Genomic DNA, 23,780 nt, shown 5'->3' on the forward strand with positions numbered 1-23,780 from the left:
GTTAGGTAGCATGTCTGCCCACCTGTCCTCAGGCCTCACCAAGAAGCTGAGATTGTCCAAAAGTGCCCAGAGGGCCTGGCGCAATGGCTCACACCTGTTATCCCAGCACTTTGGGAGGCCAAGGCAGGAGGATCCCTTGAGGCCAGGAGTTTGAGACCAGCCTGGGCAACATAGCAAGACCCTGTCTCTACAAAAAACAAATCAGCCAGGTGGTGGCATGCGTCTTCAGTCCCAAGCTACCAGGGATGCTGAGACGTGAAGATAGTTTAAGTCCAAGAGATGAGGCTGCCGTGAGCTGTGATCCCGCCACTGCACTCCAACCTGGGCAACAGAGTTGAGACCCTGTCTCTAAAAATTAAAAAAGGAAGCGCACAGGGAAGCCAGCTCCCACTATTGCCCAAGGCTGGCCAAAGTGTTCCTTGGAGTCTAGGTCACTGGGGGTTGGAAATGTGCTCTGAGAATCTTGGGGTCATCTTTATTAACACCTTGTGAGTCACCAAACCAAACTGAGACCAGATTTATCTTCCTGGATTGGGTTCCTAGAAGCCTCTGGAGTTAGGGACGAGATACACTCAGGCCTGGGTAGAAGGAGATTCTTCTTGCTGTGCCAGTGGCTTTTTTTTTTTTTTTTTAACCTTGGGAGGGACCACAGCCCCACAGCATGGAGATGTGCTGGATTTGTTTATTTTTTATTTTTATTTTATTTATTTATTTAACTACTTGCCAAATAAAGTGAAAAGAGAAAGGCCTGAGACCTTGGAACTCTCAGTGAAGTGCTGACTTAAGAGCCCCCGAGCTGAATTTCTCATGACTGTATTGAGTTTAATACTGGTGCCTGACGATGCTGCACAAAAATACACCCTGGTGTGCTTGCCACTGTTAGCCTGCTGAGGAAGGCTGAAGTCATTCCCATGGGAATCTGCCAACATCATTCCTGGGTGAACTCATTTGGGGAGTACAAGCCGACATGCCACTGATTCTAGAAACTCGAACATGTAAATAGGAAAAAAAAAAAAAAATACTAGACTATTTTAAAAATGAACCAGGCTGGGTGCAGTGGCTCATTCCCGTAATCCCAGCACTTTGGGAGGCCGAGGCGGGTGGATTACTTGAGGTCAAGAGTTCGAGACCAGCCTGGCAAACATGGTGAAACCCCACCTCTACTAAAAATACAAAAATTAGCCGGGCGTGGTGGCATGCACCTATACTCCCAGCTACTTGGGAGGCTGAGGCACGAGAATTGTTTGTACCTGGGAGGCAGATGTTGCAATGAGCCGAGATCACGCCACTATACTGCAGCCTGAGCAACAGAGTGAGACTCGATCTCAAAAAAAAAAAAAAAAAGAACCAAAGATGATGTGACCACTTCTCTTTGGGACTCAATGGACCTCATACGACGTTAAGCCTCCTTGAGTGGTTACTGGATTAGGTTGATAGTATTTTTATCACTAAACATCATCAAATAAGTAGCTGTTTAATGTGGTTGGAATATTTTCAATCATCCAAATGAGACATGCTGTGGGCATCAGGACGGGAGTTATCTGGCCTGTGTTGGTGGCCCCTGGGCCTTGTGTGGGGAGCAGGGCATAGAGCTAGCTGTACGCTCTTGGTGACACAACTGTCTTGGCCCCTGTAGGCATTGGGGGGCTACAGCCACTGAGCATCTACCGAGTGTCAGGGCTATTTCCTGCGATGCCTGCTCAGGCCCTCTCTATCTGCTTTTCCAAATCTTCCGACTCCATTTTTTTTTTTTTTTTTTTTTTGAGATGGAGTCTTACTCTGTCGCCCAGGCTGGAGTGCAGTGATGCAATCTCAGCTCACTGAAACCTCTGCCTCCCGGGTTCAAGCGATTGTCCTGTCTCAGCCTCCCGAGCAGCCGGGATTATAGGTGTGCGTCACCCCGGCTAATTTTTGTATTTTTTAGTAGAGATGGTTTTTTGCCATGTTGGCCAGGCTAGGCTAGTCTTGAACTCCTGACCTCAAGTGATCTGCCCACCTCGGCCTCCCAAGTGCTGGGATTACAGCTGTGAGCCACCATGCCCAGCCTCCAGATCTTCCCACTCTGAGGCCCACCTTGGGTTGAAACTTTCCCCACCTGGACCACGCATTCCTTCTCAGACTCTCCCTTCCCAAAGCTCCTAGCACCCTTCTGTGCATTTGCCAAAACCCAGTTGTTTTCTCAACATCCTGAGTCATTTCCTCAGCAAGACAGAATCCCCGGAGGGGTGGCAGGTTCATTCCGACACTTCCTTCTTCCCACATTGTTGTCCAGACCTGGGCACAGAAGCACCCTGGATGGTCAGGGAGTGCTTAAAAGTCCCTTCCACTTAAGATGTTAGGATTCTAAGGCTAAATTGATGTTCCTGCACAAATAAATACCTCTTTAGGAGCTGTGAGTTGAGGGCCAACTCTTTCACCAACTTTCATAATTCCCAGATATGTAATTTATTTAAGTTAATTTATGTAAGTAATTTCCTCTCTCTGTGCCCTTTGCTCTCATCTGTGAAAGGAGGGCCTTGCCCAAGGGCCCTCTTGGTGATCTGGATGTTTCTGGCAGGTCTGCACTTGGCTACTGTTGTGGTCTCTGCCTTGGTATTTCTCCCTTAGCAGCCTAGCCAGGAAGCATAGCGTGGAGCTCCATTATGGGCTGTGCGGTCCTGCAAGCCCCTGTGTGAGTGTGGCTGGCCGGCCTGCCCACTGTCTGTAACATTATACAAATGTAATCGAATGCCAACGGACAGGATCCAGGGTTGCAGTTATTTTGGGATGTGCAGGAGCCTGTGGGAAAACGCTGGAACATGTCTTAGTCACTTGGGCAAATACCTTTCTTTCCCTGTTCCAGCGTGTTTTGAACTTTCAGGCAGCACAAAAAAAGCTCCAGCAGGCACACCCACCCTTGGTGATTCCGGTGCCCTTACACATCCTGTGGCTCTGAAAAGTGTGAGTGCAGAGGGCTGAGAGCGGGGCTGGGGAAGCCCTAGACACCCACCTATGGAAAAAATTGTAGCGCTTCCCTCAATACGTAATTCAAAATAAAAACAACAAAAGAAACGTAAGGAAGATGTGCAATTCCCACTTTATACTTTGTTGCTTCCTAAAAATTGTAAAATTTCCTCCACTCATGCGTATGTGCGCTTGGCCAGGTCCCTGCCTTCCTGGTACTCTGTTGTCCAGCACTACCCAGTAAGAACCACTGGAGACCAGGAAGAGCTCCATCAGTCCCCGCGGAGCATCTGAGCAGGTGAGGAGGTACAGGACCACAACAGAGGGCAGCAGAAGCCAGCAATGGTGCCATCCTGCGCTTGGTGGAAGGGATGAGGAGGCAGCCACAGGTCCTCTCGATGGACAGTGTTGCCCCCGCACCTCACACGTGGGCCCAGAGTTCCTGGTGCAACTAGAAGCCAGCCTGAAGGTGTGAAGGGAGTTGGAAAAAGCATTCCAGATGGAAAGGGTCTTTTTCTAAAACATTTTCTTGCCTGTCCTTGCCTTCTCTAGCCAGAGCTTTGCCCTAGGATCTGGCCGGCTGCATGGAGGCTGAGGAAGTTCTCCTCTAGTTTGAAGAGGGGAAATCCTTCTGCCAGCCCCTCACTCACTGTCTTCCACTTCATCTCTTTCTCTCTCCAATGGCTCTTTTCTTGTCCTTAGCCTACAGAAAACACAAACCAAAAAGAAATGCTTCCTCCTCACTTTACCCCCTGCCCCCACTTTTCTTTTTCTTTTTCTTTTTGAGACAGAGTATTGCTCTGTTGCCCAGGCTGGAGTGAAGTAGTGCAATTTTGGCTCACTGCAACCTCTGCTTCCGAAGTTCAAGCAGTTCTCCCACCTCAGCCTCCCGAGTAGCTGGAATTACAGACATGTGCCACACACCCAGCTAAATTAAAAAAAAAAAATCTATTTTTAGTAGAGAAGGGGTTTCACCATGTTGGCCAGGCTGGTCTTGAACTCCTGACCTCAAGTGATCCACCTGCTTTGGCTTCCCAAAGTGCTGGGATTACAGTCATGAGCCATCGTGCCCGGGTCACCACCCCCAGCTCACCACCCCCACTTTCTGATCACATGTCGTGGAAGAGCCAGCTAAGTCCCCTCACCTCCCACGTCCTGATCCACCTACAGCCATCCATTCCTGCACCCACCCCTACCGAAACCACTTCTGTGGGCACACTGTCACTGGTGTTATGCAATGTCTCCAGCTCTCCTCCCCAGCAGGCTCTGACTCACCCTCTTCCCTTGCCCTCTCTTCAACATCAAGGTCTCCAGGGTTCCTTCTTCAACCACCGCTCTTCCCACCATGTGAGGGTGTTTCAGGCGGCACCTTGGCTGGACCATAGCACCCAGCTATTTAACTCCAGCACTAGATGCTGCTGAGTAGATATTCTACAGACTTGGTTAACATCTACCATCGGTTGATTTCTCCCGGAGGAGAAGAAATTCTGCCTCAAGACTACAGCATCTGCCCTGGCTGAGTTTCTAGCCTGCTGCCCTGCCCTGACTTGCCCTGCCCTACAGCTTTCCAACTTGTCTGTCCCCACAATCATGTGAGCCAAATCCTTAAAAAAAAAAAAAATACACACATGGCTGGGTGCGGTGGCTCATGCCTGTAATCCCAGCACTTTGGGAGACTGGGGAGGGTGGATTGCTTGAGCCCAGGAGTTCAAGACAAGCTTGGGAAACATGGCAAAACCCCATCTCTATTTATAATAAAAATTAAACCCACACACACATACACATCCCCACCACACAAGCGCTGTATATGTGTATTTTGTTTCTCTGGCGAACCCTGACTGATGCATACTGTTCACACTCACCGGTTCTCCAGCTTCCTCCTCCCAGACCCCAGTCATCTCTGGGTCTGTTTCTGATACCCTCTTTTTTTCTTTCTTCTTTTTTTTTTTTTTAAAAAAGAGTAGAATTCATATTTTGTTGTCATCCAGATGGCAGTTGGGTTTATAGTCTCCATACTTTATACTTTATGTAAATAAAAATAATTACAAGTTTTAAATAGCCAATGGCTGGTTATGTTTTCAGAAACCATGATTAGACTAATTCATTAATGGTGGCTTCAAGCTTTTCCTTATTAGCTCCAGAAAATTCACCCACTTTTGTCCCTTCTTAAAGAACTGGAAAGGGCCAGGCACGGTGGCTCACACCTGTAATCCCAGCACTTTGGGAGGCTGAGGCGGGTGGATCACCTGAGGTCAGGAGTTCGACACCAGCCTGACCAACATGGAGAAACCCCGTCTCTACTAAAAATACAAAAATTAGCCAGGCCTGGTGGCGCATGCCTATAACCCCAGCTACTCGGGAGGCTGAGGCAGGAGAATCACTTGAACCTGCGAGATGGCGGTTGCTGTGAGCTGAGATTTTGCCATTGCACTCCAGCCTGGGGGACAAGAGGAAAAATCCATCTCAAAAACAAACAAACAAACAAACAACAAAAAAAAACTGGAAGGTTGGCATGCATTTGACTTCACATTCTGAAGCAACATCCTGACAGTCAGCCACATGTACTTCAAAGAATACCATGTTGGAATACTTTTCAGAGAGGGAATGAAAGAAAAGCTTGATCTTTTTGCAAGGCCCATACCACGTGGCTGAGAAGTCAACCATGACAAATTTATCACCTGCAGCCTCCAAGCCTTCCTGAAAAGCAACCTTGCTCTCAATTTGCTTCACCATCTTGGCTGCTAGGGTCTGAGGAGCAGCTGTAAGAACCGATGGAAACGGATCCAAAAGTGCCGGATCGAGCTTGGAGCTCTGGTACCCTCTTTCTCCTGAATGCCAAACTTATCTATGCCTACAGGGCACACAGAAAGGTGAGCATTCAGCTGATATCCTCTAGGAACCTGGAATTCAAATCCTGGGGTCCCCTCAGGGATCCCCCAGCACTGAGTCAGCTCTATCCCAGCACAAGCCTTCCACAAGGTGCGATCCCACAGTTCACAGAGGCCAGCCAGGTGGAGGATTGACAGAGCCAAGCTGTCACAAGTTGGATGTAGTCTGGGGGCAGAGCCAGGGACTGATGCTTGGCCCCACGCAGCAATTGTCATGTGGGGCATTGGTCCAGCGTTACAAGAGATTTCCAATTTTCCAGAAAGACCAGAAATTTGTTCCTGTGAAATCTCTCAATTTTTAATTTTTTTTTTTAAGATGGAATTTCACTCTTATTGCCCAGGTTGGAGTGCAGTGGCGCAATCTCTGCTCACAGCAACCTCCACCTCCCTGGTTCAAGTGATTCTCCCATCTTAACCTCCCAAGTAGCTGGGATTACAGGCACCCGACACCATGCCCGGCTAATGTTTGTAATTTTAGTAGAGACCAGGTTTCACCACGTTGCCCAGGCTGGTGTCGAACTCCTGACCTCAGATGATCTGCCTGCCTTGGCCTCCCAATGTGCCGGGATTGCAGGTGTGAGCCCCAGCCTGACAATGAAATTTTCCCATCAAGAGGTATTAAGGGAGGGACAGGCTTCATGAACCCTTTAAAAAAATGTTTATGTCACTTTTCACTCAGGGCAATGAGTGCTTACTTGCCCTACATTTTCATAACCAAAAGAGTACACACAAGACTCTTGTCTAAATGTGACTGTTCTCAGCCAACTCTGTCCACCCTCTGACACTGAAGTAGCTGACATAATTTAAAAATGTCTCCCAAAAGGTGCCCAGTTTCATTAACATTTTTTGGAGATAATTTTGACTAATTATTGGGTCACAAATTTCCTTCAGACAAAAAAAGACAAAAAGGCCCATTATCCCAAATATATACCTTTCAAACCCTTAGGATTTAAAAATACTAAAAACATGGTAACTTCTCCATGTTTGTTTTTTGTTCCTTATATTTCACTCTAACGATCAAGATACAAGAAAATACATAGAGGCGATCGATAGCTACCCTGATTTGATCCTATGCATTTATACATGTATCAAAATATCTTCAGGATAAGAACAACTATAATATATCAATAGAAATTTAAAAATTAAAGAAATTAACAAAAGAGTCTGTGCATGGTGGCTCACGCCGGTAATCTCAGCACTTTGGGAGGCCAAGGCAGGTGGATCACTTGAGGCCAGGAGTTTGAGACCAACCTGGACAACATGGCGAAACCCCGTCTCTACCAAAAATACAAAAAAAATTAGCCGGGCGTCATGGCGCATGCCTGTAATCCCGGCTACTTGGGGGGCTGAGGCTGGAGAATAGCTTGAACCCAGGAAGCAGAGGTTGCAGTGAGCCGAGATCACGCCACTGCACTGCAGCCTGGGCAACATAGACTCTGTCTAAAAAAAAAAAAAAGTAAGAAATTAACAAACAAAAGAAAATATATTGTTTAAAAATAAAATTACATTTCATAATTATTGCACGAACAGATTTAAGGATAAAGTTTCCAGTTAGAATGAAAGAGAGAAGGCATGTGTTTACAAACAAGCACGAGGCCCAAGAATAACTTACTGATTAGTATAAAATGTAAATGGTTGATTTTGCACAAATGCGATTTTTCTTTCTTTCTTTTTTATTTTTTTGTGGTCCACTGGAATGAGAAACTCAAAATCTTTCTTTAGAGCTAAGGCTTTTTTCTTCAATCGACTTCCTCAGGTTGAAAGGAGTTAAGGCTTTACCAAAGCAATTTGAAGGTTTGAAATCTCCAGGGAGATTGATTTATGAGTACAGTACACGTTAAGGCTACCTCTGACCTTGGCAGATTGTGGCTGTTAAATTAGGCCCTGGAGTCCTGAGACAGGGGCTCTTCATCTTAGCCTCCTAGCCTCCTTAGTATCTCACTGTGTGTCAGCAATTCCATGAATCCCATTGGATTCATGAAATTTCATTCATGGAATTGGATTCCTACTCATGGAATTTAATGTAATTCCATTGGATTCATGGAATTCCACTTCAGTTCTGTGATTCTCAGTAATATTTCTTTCTTTTTTTTTTTTTTTTTTTTTTTTGAGACAAGGTTCCTCTCTGTCACCCAGTCTGGAGTGCAGTGGCACGACTTAAGCTCACTGCAACCTCCGTTGGCCTCCCTGGCTCAAGCAATTCTCTTGCCTCAGCTTCCCCAGTAGTTGGGCACCACCATGCCCGGCTACTTTTCGCATTTTTCGGTAGAGAGGGGGGTTTCGCCATTTTGGCCAGGCCGGCCTCGAACTCCTGACCTCAGGTGATCCTCCCACCTCGGCCTCCCAAAGTGCTGGGATTACAGGCGTGAGCCACCGTGCCTGGCCAGTTCTGTGATTCTTTGGAGTGCCATGGCGCCATCTCGGCTCACTGCACCTCCGCCTCCCGGGTTCAAGCGATTCTCCTGCCTCAGCCTCCTGAGTAGCTGGTATACAGGTGTGTGCCACGACGTCAAGCTGATTTTTGTTATTTTACCTGAGACGGGGTTTCACCATATTGGCCAGGCTGGTCTCAAACTCCTGGCCTCAAGTGATCCACCTGCCTCGGCCTCCCAAAGTGCTGGGGCTACAGGTGTGAGCCACCACACCAGGCCTCAGGTCTGAGGTTCCTAATTCAGGACTCACCCGCACTAATTGAAACCTGAGGTGAGGGATTTCTCCTCGCTGACCAGTAGGGGGCGCGTCGTGACTGCGCCTTCTGCTTTCACTCCCCGCGCAGGGAAATCCTGTCCTGCTCTCTCAGGGAGCAGTTCCTGACGGTGGGCTCCATTTTATAATAGAATGACTCACCTGAAGAATCACTTCTTTCATTATTTCGTATTCCTCACAATACCAGTGACACACAAAGGCTTTATTTGAAAAACCAAGTAAAGGAAACGAGCACAGGATGTCTGTGCTGGTCTGGTCGGCGTTTATCTCAGCTGGTGAGAACGCAGCCACGCCTCTGTTCACACTGTCATTCCTCCAATAAATAAGATATCCCTGTTTTCTAAAGTCAGGGAGATTTATGAGTCAGAAGTAATCGGATCCACAATCTGATTAGAATTCTATCCTCATAACGGGAGCTGACCGCATCCGCATCCATTTGTGGTCCGGCCCAGTCACCACTTGGTTGGTGTTCTAGCACTATAAGCCAGACTGTGGGGTGGGGGAAGGTGAGTGCTCCCCGCACTTTAATGCCGGGCTTATTTTTCCCTAAGGACCAGGATCGAAATAATGTTAACAGGAAAAACATGCTTCCTCGTATGAGACTGCAGTATTTCACCTTGTATGAGAAAGGAAAAATGAAGGGTGAGACCTGCTTGTTTCTTACATAACTAGGGAGAAATCCATCCCCCCTCTCACCCCGTAGCTCTTCCTGGTGGCAGTAATGATCAGAACCGGGAGTACCCAACTTCTTTCATGCTTGGGGGACTAGAGCTGCCCCCTCCATGCAGAATGGGCAAAGTAAGGGCAGAGGAGATCCATTAGCATCACAATAGGCCTAAAGCCTGCATTTGAAAGCTTCAAGAAAAGACTGAGAGGCAATCTCTTGCTGTTTCCCCTAAAGGCAGATTGGCAGATCAGTCCTCCTATCCGGAGCAGCTAGAAAAGCTGGCAAAACAAACAAGACCTATCTGAAGGTGAGCCGCCAAGGGGGTGAGGATTTGAGGGTCAAGGTCCTGGAGAGAAGGGTTAGCAGAGCTTTGAATTTTGAGGCATTTGCCTATTTCATGAGGCAGAGAAGCTCCCAGCAGTCTCATGCTAAGGAAGGAAGAGCTCAAGTAGTCGCCGCCAGCTTTCAACTTCCAAAGGGCCTCACCCTTTGGAAGGAACAGGAATGAAAATAGAGAAACTCTCACAAAGACTGAAACCCAGCTTCCCATTGGCTTACCGTTTGACTGTGTTACAGGAAAGGGGTCTTGATCCAGACCACAAGAGAAGGTTCTTGGATCTGGAGCAAGAAGGAATTCAGGGTGAGTCCATAGAGTAAAGTGAAAGCAAGTTTATCAGGAAAGTAAAGGAATAAAAGAATGGCTACCCCATAGGCACAGCAGCCCCGAGGGCTGCCGGTTGCCCATTTTTATGGTTATCTCTTGATGATATGCTAAACAAAGGGTGGATTATTCATGCCTCCCCTTTTGAGACCATATAGGGTAACTTCCTGATGTTGTTATGGCATTTGTAAACTGTCATGGTGCAAGTGGAGTGTGGCAGTGATGACAACCAGAGGTCACTGTTGTCACTATCTTGGCTTTGGTGGGTTTTAGCCGGCTTCTTTACTGCAACCTGGTTTATTAGCAAGGTCTTTATGACCTGTATCTTCTGCTGACCTCCTATCTCATCCCATGACTTAGATTGCCTAACCTTCTAGGAATGCAGCCCAGCAGGTCTCAGCCTTATTTTACGCAGCCCCTACTCAAGATGGAGTTACTTTGGTTCAAACGCCTCTGATAATTGGATTAGGGCAAGCTTTCGCAACCTCAGTGCTATTGACACTGATAAATTGACATTATCAGTGGACCATCCTATGCAATGTTTAGTATTCCTGGCTTTTAACCACTGGATGCCAGTAGCACCTCTCCTTCCCCAAATTCTGACAACCAAACTTTCTCCAGACATTGCCAAATGTCCCCTGGTGGGGAAAATCACCTGTGGTTGAAAACCACTGGATTAAGGGTGCCTGCCCAGACCCCAACTGCCTTCCAGAAGCAAAAATAAATCTTACTATCATCTAGGGCCTCAAATTATATCTGTAATTTTTCATACATGATATGCAGCACTTAATAAAGAACAAAGCTTTAAAATACATAACAAAGTTGACAGAACTAAAAAGAGAAATAGACAAATCCACAATCATAGTGGGAGATGTTAAGACACATTTCTGAGAAAATGATGGACTAAGCAGAAAAAAAAAATCAACAAGGTTAGGGTAACAGGGTAAACTACGGAGAGAAGTATCTGGAGGAAAAGAGAAAGGTATCAGGTCTGGGTGCGTGAAAGAGGGGTTGGCAGGAAGGGGGGTATTGAGCGCAGATGGAGAAATGGAGAGAAAAGGAGGGTCTTTGTGGGCCCCCTCTTTCTGGAGGCTTAATTCTATAAGACCTTTTCCGCATGAACGGTACAAGGGAACTGTGTCGTTTCCTTTGTTCCTTCATCCAGACTATACTGGCTGCTCTGTGAAATCTATCTGTACCTCCAGTCTGCCGGAGGCATGTGAACCAGAGCAACTTCACCTTGAATAGGAGCTGGGTAAAATGAGACTGAAACCTACTGCACTGCATTCCCAGAAGGTTAGGCATTCTAAGTCACACGATGAGATAGGAGGTCAGCACAAGATACAGGTCACAAAGACCTTGCTAATAAAACAGCCTGCAGTAAAGAAGCTGGCCAAAACCCACCAAAACCAAGATGGCAATGAGAGTGACCTCACTGCTACACTCCCGCCAGCACCATGACAGTTTACCAATGCCATGGCAACATCAGAAAGTTACCCTATTTGGTCTCAAAAGGGGAGGCATGAAGAATCCACCCCTTGTTTAGCATATAATCAAGAAATAACCATAAAAATGAGCAACCAGCAGCCCTTGGGGCTGCTCTGTCTTTGCAGTAGCTATTTTTTTTTTTTTTTTTTTTGAGATGGAGTCTTGCTCTGTCACCCAGGCTATAGTGTAGTGGCATGATCTTGGCTCACTGCAACCTCCGCCCCCCTGGGGTTCAGGCAATTCTCCTGTTTCAGCCTTCTGAGTAGCTGGGTCTACAGGCGCGCGCCACCACGCCCTGCTAATTTTTGTACTTTTAGTAGAGACAGGGTTTCACCATACTGGTCAGGCTGGTCTCGAACTCCTGATCTCAGGTGATCTGCCCATCTCAGCTTCCCAGAGTGCTGGGATTACAGACGTGAGCCACCATGCCCGGCCTTTGTTTTCTTTTCTTTTCTTTCTTTTTTTTTTTTTTTTTGAGACAGAGTCTCACTCTGTCACACAGGCTGGAGTGCAGTAGCGCGATCTCAGTTCACTGCAACCTCTGCCTCCTGGGTTCAAGCGATTCTCCTGCCTCAGCCTCCTGAGTAGCTGGGATTACAGGCGTGCGCCACCACACATGGTTAATTTTTGTATTTTTAGTAGAGATGGGGTTTCACCATGTTGGTCAGGCTGGTCTCGAACTCCTGACCTCATGATTCTCCCGCCTTGGCCTCCCAAAGTGCTGGGATTACAGGCGCCTGGCCACAGTAGCCATTCTTATATTCTTTACTGTCTTAATATACTTGCTTTCACTTTACTCTGCAGACTCACCCTGAATTATTTCTTGCGTGAGATCCAAGAATACTCTCTTGGGGACCCCTTTCATTGTGGACTCCGTAGCAGCCAGTGGGGTTTGGGTTGGCAAAGACTAGTGAGGCGGCCAAAAGGGTGGTAAGCACATTCTGATCAACTGGGAGAGTGTCTCCAGCAGAGCTGCAGCCCTCCACCCCTGCCATGGAGGTGCTACCAGGTGTCACTAAACTTAGAGAGTCCTATGGTCTGAGGCAGTTTCAAAATTGAGAGACAGTAAGACTGAATATTTAATTCCTGTCTCATCTCTCCTCACTGTATTTTAGCAAGAAGTACTCCAGGATACAGAAGAGGAGCCTGTCCTACCTGGATTACACAGGTATATTGATACCTACTATACGGCAGACATTATTCTAATTGTTGCTAAGAACAGAGAGTAGGCCAGGCACGGTGGCTCTTGCCTGTAATCCCGGCACTTTGGGAGGGCAAGTCGGGAGGGTTGCTTGAGCCTAGGAGACCAACCTGGGAAACGTGGTGCGACCTTGTCAGTGATCCTGAGGTGAGAGGATCACTTGAGCCCAGGAGTTCGAGGCTGCAGCAGTGAGCCATGATTGTGCCACTGCACTCCACAGCCTGGGTCATAGAGTGAGACCCTGACTCAAAAAAAAAAAAAAAGAAAAGAAAAAGAAACACAGTGAGTTTAAGACTGGAATATAAAGATGGGTAAAGCCTATCCATTGTCTTCAGGCCTAATAGGGGTAAGGGGGTTAGGGCAGTGAATCGAGTAAACCAGCAGTTTGAATACGGTATGCTGGGGCAACTCAGGACAGAGCACAACAGGCTAAGAAGATGAAGAGTAATCGGGTGCTGGAGGGGAGAGAGAGAGAGAGACAGCAGATAAGGGGAATCTAGTTAAGAGTCTGAAACGGGAAGAGGATCTTCTGGGGAGCAGGAGTATTGTGAACAAAAGCCTGCAAGTGTGAAAGCATGAAGTGCATTCAGGGAAAATTGTATCCCACAGGTATTACTGAATGCCTACTCTATACCTGGCACTGTGCTAGGAGTTCAATGTACCTCGACGAACAAGACTCAGTCCTTCTCCGCAAATTGGTCAGGGATCTTTAGTAGGGCAGATTGAAAAGGAATGGGGAGCCGTTCTACAGTGAGCTGTCTGGAGGAGCTGGGGCATAGAGTGTTTGCAAACAAGTAATGAGTAACGGCCAGGCGCGGTGGCTTTGGCTGGGTGCGGTGGCTCACGCCTGTAATCCCAGCACCTTGGGAGGCCGAGGCAGGCGGATCACGAGGTCAGGAGATTGAGACCATCCTGGCTAATGTGGTGAAACCCCGTCTCTACTAAAAATACAAAAAATTAGCCGGGCGTGGTGGTTGGCTCCTGTAGTCCCAGCTACTTGGGAGGCTAAGGCAGGAGAATGGCCTGAACCCGGGAGGCAGAGCTTGCAGTGAGCCGAGATCGTGCCACTGCACTCCAACCTGGGCAACAGAGTGAGACTCCATCTCAAAAAAATAAAAAATAAAAAAGAAGTAATGAGAAACATGCCTGTTAGGTTACGAGGGGCTGTTGTATGCCTTGACACTGAAGGTGAAGACAGCCAGAATATAACCAGCTCCACCTTTGAAGCTCTGTATTAGAGCTGGCTGCTGCTCAAGAGTCCCACCACAAGTGATCACACACAGCTGTCAATGCCTCCTGGAAGTGACTTAGCAAGTCTGGGAGGCATTTGAAGTGAAATATCAGGCATCCAACCCAAGATGCTAGCAGCCTGATTAGAAAGGCAGGGTTGATGAAGACAGGGCGGGAGTCGCTGTGGCTCCCCTCTTTCCAGGGAGGTAAGAAAGAGGCCTCTGAGAGGAGACCCACCCTGTCCTGGGGAGGCCGAGGGCCCAATGCATTGGTGCCAATGACATGGGGCTCACAGTCTCTGTTCAAAGATGATCCCACCATCCACCTCTTCTGAGACCTTGATTTTTCAGTTGTCCCAGCTCTCTTGTGTGTCCAACTTCTCCTCTTGATTTATCCCCAGCAACATTAATATATCTTTAAGTTAATAGGCTAGGCATGGTGGCTCACGCCTGGAATCCCAGCACTTTGGGAGGCTGAGGCAGGCGGATCACGAGGTCAGGAGTTCAAGACCAGCCTGACCAATGTGGTAAAATCCCATCTCTACTAAAAATACAAAAATTAGCTGGGCACGGTGGTGGGCATCCGTAGTCCCAGCTACTCAGGAGGCTGAGGCAGGAGAATCACTTGAACCCGGGAGGCGGAGGTTGCAGTGAGCCGAGATCGCGCCATTGCACCCCAGCCTGGATAACAGAGTGAGACTCCATCTCAAAAAAAAAAAAAAAAAAAAAAAAGAGAGAGAGATATATATAAAATCTTTAAGTTGCTCTCACCACTCTATCCTGTTGTTGCCCCATTTCTCTCCTCCCTGCAAAATTAAACTCTTAAAGGAGTTATGCACACTCAGTGCCTCTACCTCCTCATTTCCTGTTCTGTTCAAGTTCCTTTGGAATACAGACCCATCTGGCTGGCTCTAGGGAGCTGCTTCTTATAGGGACACACTGGCAACCATGTGCAAATCTAGCAATAGATCCTCTGGGTCTGGATTTCCCATTCTTTTCCAGAGTCCTTTCTAGTCCCTCTCCAGGCTGTCTCCCTCTCCCACATGGCCTCGTTCACCTGCTCTACACGAATCCGTTCCGACTTTCTGTATCTGCTCAACCTCACCCCAGACCTCTTACCCAAGATGCTGAAGGATAATTGGCCTCATGGAAACCTGGAATAGGGGCTGCAAACTCATCAGGATGGGCTCCTCCTCCTTTCTACCCTGCCCTCTCCTCCCTCATCTGTGTGTGTGTGTGTGTGTGTGTGTGTGTGTGTGTGTGTGTGTGTGTGTGTCTGCTTCTCTCTGACCATCTCTGCCATTTCCACCACTCTCTACTTACCCATCCTACACCATCCCATAATGAACACTCCAGCTTCAGTCAACTTCAGGATCTTTAGCCCAGCTCCCACCATCAACAGACAGATGCTCAAGAGATGGAACCCAACTAGCCTGGTAATTTCTTCAAGTGAGGAGACAAGTCATAGGTCACTGGCCTCAGATTACAGGATGTGGCTGTTTAGGACCACAGGATGGTGGACAGGACGGCCTCCCTGAGAGGCGGTGGGGAGAGCAGACCACAAGAAGCAGCTTTGTATGCCTCCCATTCACGCCTCCACCCAAGGCATGGCCTGTGTGCTCAGCAGCCCGGAAACTGCTTTCACTGAGGTCATAAACAGTGTCTTTGTTGTTGAATCCAATGGACAGTATTCCTTTCTTTCTGTGAATGAATGTTCAGTGGCTTCTGGAGCTGTTGACCCTTTTCCTGACCCCTTTCCTGTAACTCCCATGAGATTTACCCTCTTTAGTTTTCCTCCTATATTTTGGCTATTTCCTTCCAGCCTATGTTTTGGGCTCCTCTTTCTCTGCCTGTGCTTTCAAAGCTGACCATCCTCTGGGTCTGGATTTTCCTTTCCTTTCCAGAATCCTTTCTAGTCCCTCTCCAGGCCATCTGCCTCTTCCACATGGCCTCAGTCACCTACTCTATACGAATCCATTCTGACTTTCTGTATCTGCACAACCTCATCCCAGACCTCACCCAACTGGACAGCCCCACCTAGACATCCCACAGGTACTTCGAAGTCACTGTATGCACAGTGGCACTCCATCCCCCTTCTACCTTCTTCTCCCTGATGTTTCCTACTTCAGGAGATGGTGCCACCCACTTGCCCAGGCCAGAAACAGCATCATGCTTAATACCTTATTTCCTTCACTCTAAACCCAACCAAACACCAAACATGAAAGAATCAACAGGCCAGGTGCAGTGGCTCACACCTGTAATCCCCGCACTTTAGGAGGCTGAGATGGGCGGATCACCAGAGGTCAGGAGTTCGAGACCAGCCTGGCTAACATGGTGAAACACCATCTCTACAAAAAATATAAAAAATTAGCTGGGCATGGTGGTGTGTGCCTGTAATCCCAGCTACTCGGGAGGCTGAGGCAGGAGAATCGCTTGAACCTGCGAGGCAGAGGTTTCAGTGAGCCGAGATTGTGCCACTGCACTCCAGCCTGGGCAACAAGAGCAAAACTCTGTCTCAAAAAAAAAAAATCGACAATAATCCCTTCATATATCAAATATCCAGTGTTCTACTTTCAGAGCATCCATCTTTTCCTTTTCCCTCCTGCCACCACCATCATTCTTGGAGTCATTCTCCTAAATGGGCTCTTCACTTTCAGTCTTCCAACCACCCAATCTAGTAACCCCCACTGAGTTACTCTCCCCATGGCCAGAAGGCTCCTTTCCTGCCTCCTTCCTCCTTTTTAAAAGAAATGTAGTTTTGTCACAGGATCCTTGGGGTGTCGTTTTTCCAGCTGGAAAACCTCTGTGGCCAGCAGCGCCTTCTGCCTGAATATTGCTTCTGCCCACTGGGCTCATCCCACCCACTTGGCCCGGCAGGCTGTGCTCAGATCCCACACCTGCCAAGGGCAAGCCAGGCGTGGAGTGGCGGGTGTGTGGGCAAGCAAGCATGGGATCTGGCCACTATGCACAGCCAGGCATGCCAGCTGCTATGGTGGGACAGGCAACTCCAGGTGCCACCACAGGTGCTTGCTCCATGAAAAGCTGTGGCTGGACCAGATGTACTGCATGCGGCTTCTGCTGCAGGCACCCGTGTCTGGATGAGGGTAATATGGTGGCACCTGCAAACTTGGAGATGCCAGGAACCGCAGAGCCCCAAAGAGGGTGTCGCAGCCCTGGCTTGGAGACCCCCTAGGTCTGAGCTCCCCGAAGGGCCAGAGCTCTTCTTTTCTTATTGCCTGCAATGTGGTGAGCCAGGGGGTTGTGTTTCAGCCCTGTTTGTGTTACAGCTTTTTCAGTCCCACCATTCGGCAGGTCCCAAGTTCTTGTCATGCATCCAGGAAGAATGAGGTACACAGACAACTGGAGGGTGAGTGAGGTGGAGAGGAGCTTCGCTGAGTGACAGAACAGCTCTCAGGAGATTCAAAGTGGCTAGCTCCTATCCACAGGCAGGTCATCCTGATGAGTCAAGGAGACCGAAGCGGGTAGCTCCTTCCTGCAGCTGGTAGTCCCAACATCTTTAGCCCTCAGAAGAGAGGAGCCCCAGAGTGGGTAGCTCCTATTTGCAGGCAGGTCATCCCAACGTCTGCAGCCCTCAGTGGAGAGGAGACCCAGAGGGGTTAGCTCCTATCAGCAGCAGGTCATCCCAACGTCTCTGTGAGTCTGGCTGAGTTGAGGGTTTGTATGGGTTTCAGAAAGGAGAAAGTGCGTGCTGATTGGTCCATACTTGACTAAAACAAGGTCCAACCTAGCTGTTTCTGTAAGATGGCAAGAGGTAGACAATCATATCATCTATAATAATGATAAATTAATTTATCCTATGTTGTGCCTCGTGTTCTTTTTTTTTTTTTGAGACAGAGTCTTACTCTGTTGCCCAGACTAGAGTGCAGTGGTGCGATCTCAACTCACTGCAACCTCTGTCTCCCAGGTTCAAGTGATCTCCTGCTTCAGCCTCCCAAGTAGCTGGGATTACAGGTGCACGCCGCCATGCCTGGCTAATTTTTGTATTTTTAGTAGAGATGGGGTTTCACCATGTTGGCCAGGCTGGTCTCGAACTCCTGGCCTCAAGTAGTCCACCTGCCTTGGCCTCCCAAAGTGCTTGGATTACAGGCATGAGCCACTGTGCCCAGCCTCTCTTATTCTTTTTATTGTGTTATTACAATGCCTAGCAAAAATGCTAAATAATATCAAGAATAACAGACATCCTTGTCCTGTTCCTTAATTTAAAGAGAATGCTCCTGGCATTTCGTGGATAAATATGATGTTTCCTGTTAGTTTCCGATAGCCATCTTTCTTCAAATTAATCAGTCTTGACAAATCATCTTGCACCTGCCTGGCTGCTTAGACACTCCTCCTGTTGTTTCCTCCACACAATGGCTATGCTTCAGACAAAATAAACTACTGACTCTTTTCTGGACTTGCCATGATCTTTTGTGGTTCCATGTCTTTGTACATCCTTCTCTTCATGTCATGAACACCCTCCCCAACTTCCAAATACCTGGTAGCTTAAAGAGAACCACATAGAAGTTTAGTTCCTCTTTAGACCCTGGATGTGGAGAAGATTTCTCTTCCTATTGGAAGAACATTTTGAGGAAACACTTCCATCATCCTTCTCCTTTCCTTTAGTTGCCCCCTCCCAGGGGAGAGGTTGAAGGTCTGATTGGGCCAATTTCATTGGTGGGTGGAGTAACTGGTCTTAAAGGCAAGGCCCCAGGTCCCACCCTTCTTGCTTTGCCTGAGCTCAGATATAATGCTTCTGTGGGGTTAGCACCCCTTGGCAGGACCACCTCTGTGGCAGGGGAAGCGAGGATCTGTCATTCTCTTTTTTCCAACTTCTCCAGTATGACTGGATGGGTAGGTCCGGTGACCCTTGCCTCATGAGTCTTCCTCTGTTCAGTTCAGTGGAAAAGGAGGATTTTGTCTCCCTTAGGTCTAGGTTTAAGCCATGTTCAAATCCAGCTTTTACTAGAGCTTTGCGTCAAGGTTGGTTTTCTGTTTCCTGCTTGGCTAGAGATCCTTGGACATATATTCTATCGGTGTGACTCTTAGAGTGGGGGTAGGGGGAGTGACTCCCTAGACCCTTAACCCTGACACTGAATGTGTGCTCTCATCAAACGTTTGCTGGATACATGAATGAATTGATTGATATCCCCCAGCCTTTCCCACCTTTAATAATAACTACTGTTTACTGAGTACCTTCCGTGAGCCAGGCATTAGTATCTCATTACATCCTCCCAACAACCATACCAAATAAGTATTAACATTTCCATTTTATAAAAAATGACATTTTATATTCCACTACCATATTAGCCATCCTAAGGCAAATCTCTGCTTTAAAAAAGGTAGCAGTTTGGCTGAGTGTGCAATGGCTCATGACTATAATCCCAGCAATTTGGGAGGCTGAGGTGGGAGGATCAGAAGTTCAAGACCAGCCTGGGCAATGTAGCGAAACCCCATCTCTACAAAAAAAGATTTTTTTTTTTTTTGAGACAGATTCTGGCTCTGTTGCCCAGGCTGGAGTGCAGTAGCACGATCTTGGCTCACTGCAAGCTCCGCCTCCTGGGCTCATGCCATTCTCCTGCCTCAGCCTCCTGAGTAGCTGGGACTACAGGCACCATGCCCAGCTAATTTTTTGTATTTTTAGTAGAGACGGGGTTTCACCGTGTTAGTCAGAATGGTCTCGATCTCCTGACCTCGTGATCTGCCTGCCTCGGCCTCCCAAAGTACTGGGATTACAGGCGTGAGCCACCTCGCCCGGCCCACAGTATTTTTTTTTTAATTAGCCAGGCCTGCTAGTCGGGAGGCTGAGGTGGGAGGATTGCTTGAGTCTAGGAGTTTGAGGCTGCAGTGAGCTATGATGTTGTCACTACACTCCAGCCTGGGCATCAGAGTAAGACTCTGTCTCTAAAAAGTAGACTGTGTTTCCCATCCTTCCTTGCATCTGGGCTTGGCTGTGGGATGTAAGTGGAAGTGTGGGGTGCTACTCAAGGTGTGTCCTTAAAGGGAGGGAGGGAGCTCCTTCTTTCCCCTCCCATCCCAACACTTGATGGATATGAAGCCTGGAAATCCATCTTGGATTATGAGGATGAGAGCCACCTTGTAGGGATAGTGGAAAGGAAGCTGGAAGTAGCCTGGGTCCCAGATGCCCCCAAAACCATTATATCAGTGTTCTACAGTCGCCATAACAAATTATCACAAGCTAGGTGGCTTGAAACAATATAAAGTTATTCTCTCATAGTCCTGAAGGCTGGAAGTCTAAAATCAAGGTGTCAGCAGGGCCATGCTCCCTCTAAAGGCTCCAGGGAAGAATCCTTCCTGCCTCTTCCAGCTTCTGGTGGTCCCAGGTGTTCCTTGGCTTGTGGCAGCATCGCTGTAATCTCTGCCCCCATCTTCACGTGGCCTTCTTCTCTGTGTTCCTCTACGTCCTCTCCTTTCCTTATAATGACACTAGTCATTGGATTTAGGGTCCACCCTAAGTTCAGGATGAGTTCATCTCCAAATCCTTAACTAATTACGTCTGTAGGGATGCTGTTCCCATGTAAAGTTGCATTCTGAGGTTCTGGGTGGATATGAATTTTTGGGAGATCCTATTCGACCCACGACAACTACCATATGAACTCTAAGCTGCCTACATACAGCTGTTCAAGAAAGGAAAAAATAACTGTTTTCTCTGTTTATACCATTATTATTTGGGGTCTCTGAACCCATATCCCAACCAATAGAGTCATTTTAGGGGGCACGCCTGTGGAGCCTGCCAGTGACTGCTCTTGGGTGACTGCCTGCCCCACTCACAGCAGGGGCTGGAGGGCGGCAAGACCTTTCTCCAGTGACCATGTTATTGGGCCACAAGCACACACTTAACCCAAGCTAAAGCAGTAATACTTTCTTTTGAGGGGTTTGAGACTTTAGGGAATTAGCCTGAGAGACAGCCAATACCTGAACTTATTGGCCTCTTGAATGGAGGAAAAATTACTTTATGGATTATGGGATAGTGACCTTCTGTTTATCATGTGAAGAGAGAAGCAGAGAAAACTGATCTCTACATGAGAAAAAAAGAAACAGATGTTCCAAGAGGGGAAGAGATGTGATTCTGACAGGGAGTCTGAGTGGTTCTCATTCTTGGTTTTGGGGCTGACCCGAGGCTTGGCTGCATTTGTACTGACTGCTTAGCATGAGTCAGGGCCAAGTGCTTTACCTGCATTACCTGGTATTCGGTCCAAATAATATACCCTAGACCAGTCGTGGTGGCTCCTGCCTGTAATCCTGGCCCTTTGGGAGGCCAAGGTGGGCAGATCGCTTGAGCTCAGGAGTTTGAGACCAGCCTGGGCAACATGGTGAAACCCCATCTCTACAAAAAATACAAAAATTAGCTGAGCATGATGGCGTGTGTCTTTAGTCCCAGTTACTCGGGAAGCTGAGATGGGAGGATTGCTTGAGCCGGGAGGCAGAGTTTGCAGTGAGCCACGATCGTGCCTCTGCACTCCAGCCTAGACGACAGAGTGAGACCCTGTCTCAAAACAAAACAACGAAAACAAAAACAAAAACAAAAACCAATCTATCCTAGCTTCTGCAATGTTTCAGTGGCTTAACTCAACACGAGTTTATTTATTGGCTCACATGAAGTCCATAGTGGTCAGGCAGCCCCCTCCTAGCTTGTACCACTATCATCTGGAATAGTGGTCTATAAGGTTGCCGGAGTAGAGGAAGAAAGAGATAGAGGAGGTATAGTTCCTCTTCTTCTCTTTTTGAGAGTGCCTATTTATTTTATTCTATAATTATATAAAATATCTACACAATTTCAAAATCTAATCTACAAAGCAAGGTATATTCAAATAAGTCTAGCTTATATCCCTGTGTTCTCCAACCTGTTCCCTCTTTTCCACTAAAGTTAGCAATTTAAAATTTATATTTATTTTTCCTTGTAATACATAAGTAATAATATACCTAGATTTATCTCCCTCCTTACTCAAAACTATACACATTTTCCCTACCTTGCTTTTTTTTATGGTAAAATATGCATAACATGATGTTTACTATGTTAACTTTTTTTTTTTTTTTTTGAGACAGTGTCTCTCTCTCTCTCTCTGTCACCCAGGCTGAAGTGCAGTGGCGTGATCATGGCTCACTGCAACCTTCACCTCCCTGGTTCAAGCAATTCTCCTGCCTCAGCTTCCCGAGTAGCTGGGACTACAGGCACGTGCCACAATGTCCAGCTAATTTTTGTATTTTTAGTACAGACAGGGTTTCACCATATTGGCCAGGCTGGTCTTGAACTCCTGACCTCAGGTGATCCACCCGCTTTGGCCTCCCAAAGTGCTGGGATAATAGGCATGAGCCACCGCGCCTGGCCGGATTCTTTCTTTCTAACTGGTAATATTCTTGTGCTGCTTTTCAAAATTAGAATTAGAATATTGGCATTAAAAGAACCCTGAATCCAGTGTTAAGTCGATCTTCTAATTTAACTTTCTCTAGACCACATATTTATTTCAGTCAACATTTATTAGACACAGTGCATTGAGCACTTAGGATGCATCAAGAACTGTGGGGACTGTGGGGACACAACATTGAATAAAATTTGCTTCTACTCTAATTAGTGAAAAACATCAGATTGTAATTACTTGTTTGACCTATGACCCAAATGTTTTATTATTAGATTGTGCTACTGACTGAAATCTATGAGTATACCGTGAGCATAGTTTTGAGTTGTAAAATTTCACTTCCTCTTTCTTTCTCCACACTTTTACTATTGGTAATACTGTATCAAAATTTCCCCTTTTCTTCTTTGTATTTCTCTTTTTCATAAAATTAAATAAGAATACCGCATTTCACAGATTTCATGAAATCATCTGCCATCTACTCAGAAAAATGACATCTCAAACCTTTTAAGCACCAGAATAACTAAATCCATACTTGCAGTGAGCCGAGATCACACCACTGCACTCCAGCCTGGGCAACAGAGACTGTGTCTCAAAAATAAAAATAAATAAATAAATCCATACTTGATGGCCCAGAGCCTAAGATTTGACATTAGTACGCAGCACAAGAGATCAGCAGGTATGGCAGGGATATGAAGATGTCTTATGTGAATGTGGCATTAGATCTAAAGAAGGAATTGGAGCTGTATTCAGGTAATCAGGACATTTGGGTTCCAGTGCCAGGTCCTCCCACAAATTAACTGGAATACTTTGGACAAATTCCCTAAACATTAGCTCTTCATCTGTAAAATGATGCTGCTAAACTAACTGAAAATCCCTTTTCATATTAAATTTCTACACTTTGATGATTCTAGAGAGAACCATAAGAAAGAGAGAGTGAAATAGCTGGGACAATTAGGAAACTGAAGAAGAGGGAAAAAATGGGGGCAAAGGACAATTCTAAGAACAAAGAAGGTGATAAAAATAATTCAGAACAGCAGAAAGTGAGATAGTAAAGTAAAATATGGTAAAAAGGAGAAAATAAAACATTAAATATTTTCTTGGAATTACAAAGATAAATCACATGAGATTTCATTTTTAAGCCCAAAGAGAAAGAAGAAATCTGGTTATTTGTATTTCTCTTGCATAAAGAGGCAATCTTCAGGAGTTATTTTGACGTGTCTCTCTATGGTTTCTCAATTCTAAAGAAAAAGAAAAGCCGGGCGCGATGGCTCACGCCTGTAATCCCAGCACTTTGGGAGGCTGAGGCGGGTGGATCACGAGGTCAGGAGTTTGAGACCAGCCTGGTCAACATGGTGAAACCCCGTCTCTACTAAAAATACAAAAAATTAGCCAGGTGTGGTGGCACATGCCTGTAATCCCAGCTACTCAGGAGGCTAAGGCAGAAGAATCACTTGAACCTGGGAGGTGGAGGTTGCAGTGAGCCAAGATCGAGCCACTGCACTCCAGCCTGGGCGACAGAGCTAGACTTCATCTCAAAAAAAAAAAAAAAAAGAAAAGAAAAGGAAAAAAAAAAGAGAGCTGATGTCTATCTCTTTGAGCTGTCAGATTGTTAAAACTAGCAC

General features: G+C 46.9%; 1 long non-coding RNA gene and 1 pseudogene across 1 annotated transcript, besides 4 other annotated features; both read right to left on the reverse strand.

Annotated features, from left to right (window-relative positions):
* On the reverse strand, window positions 3,058-4,579 carry LOC124902513 (uncharacterized). The gene is made up of 2 exons (XR_007062312.1): window positions 4,219-4,579; window positions 3,058-3,646 (listed from the first exon to the last, which is right to left on the reverse strand). It is a non-coding gene; the product is annotated as an uncharacterized LOC124902513 (long non-coding RNA).
* On the reverse strand, window positions 4,891-5,748 carry TXNP1 (thioredoxin pseudogene 1; annotated as a pseudogene).
* Window positions 5,615-5,794: a silencer, noted in NCBI's record as "fragment chr10:121443219-121443398 (GRCh37/hg19 assembly coordinates)". NCBI's record gives its function as "represses an EF-1alpha promoter that drives an FKBP-Casp9 reporter gene in an ReSE screen in phorbol 12-myristate 13-acetate-treated (for megakaryocytic differentiation) K562 erythroleukemia cells {active_cell/tissue: K562(+PMA)}" and the evidence as "EXISTENCE:reporter gene assay evidence [ECO:0000049][PMID:32094911]".
* Window positions 8,544-9,480: an enhancer, noted in NCBI's record as "OCT4-NANOG-H3K27ac hESC enhancer chr10:121446148-121447084 (GRCh37/hg19 assembly coordinates)". NCBI's record gives its function as "activates a minimal SCP1, AML or CMV promoter by ChIP-STARR-seq in naive H9 embryonic stem cells {active_cell/tissue: H9 hESC(naive)}" and the evidence as "EXISTENCE:reporter gene assay evidence [ECO:0000049][PMID:30033119]".
* Window positions 9,481-10,417: an enhancer, noted in NCBI's record as "OCT4-NANOG-H3K27ac-H3K4me1 hESC enhancer chr10:121447085-121448021 (GRCh37/hg19 assembly coordinates)". NCBI's record gives its function as "activates a minimal SCP1, AML or CMV promoter by ChIP-STARR-seq in naive H9 embryonic stem cells {active_cell/tissue: H9 hESC(naive)}" and the evidence as "EXISTENCE:reporter gene assay evidence [ECO:0000049][PMID:30033119]".
* Window positions 13,491-13,990: an enhancer, noted in NCBI's record as "H3K4me1 hESC enhancer chr10:121451095-121451594 (GRCh37/hg19 assembly coordinates)". NCBI's record gives its function as "activates a minimal SCP1, AML or CMV promoter by ChIP-STARR-seq in naive H9 embryonic stem cells {active_cell/tissue: H9 hESC(naive)}" and the evidence as "EXISTENCE:reporter gene assay evidence [ECO:0000049][PMID:30033119]".

Source organism: Homo sapiens, chromosome 10 (genome assembly GCF_000001405.40).
Source record: "Homo sapiens chromosome 10, GRCh38.p14 Primary Assembly".
Lineage (NCBI taxonomy): Eukaryota > Metazoa > Chordata > Mammalia > Primates > Hominidae > Homo > Homo sapiens.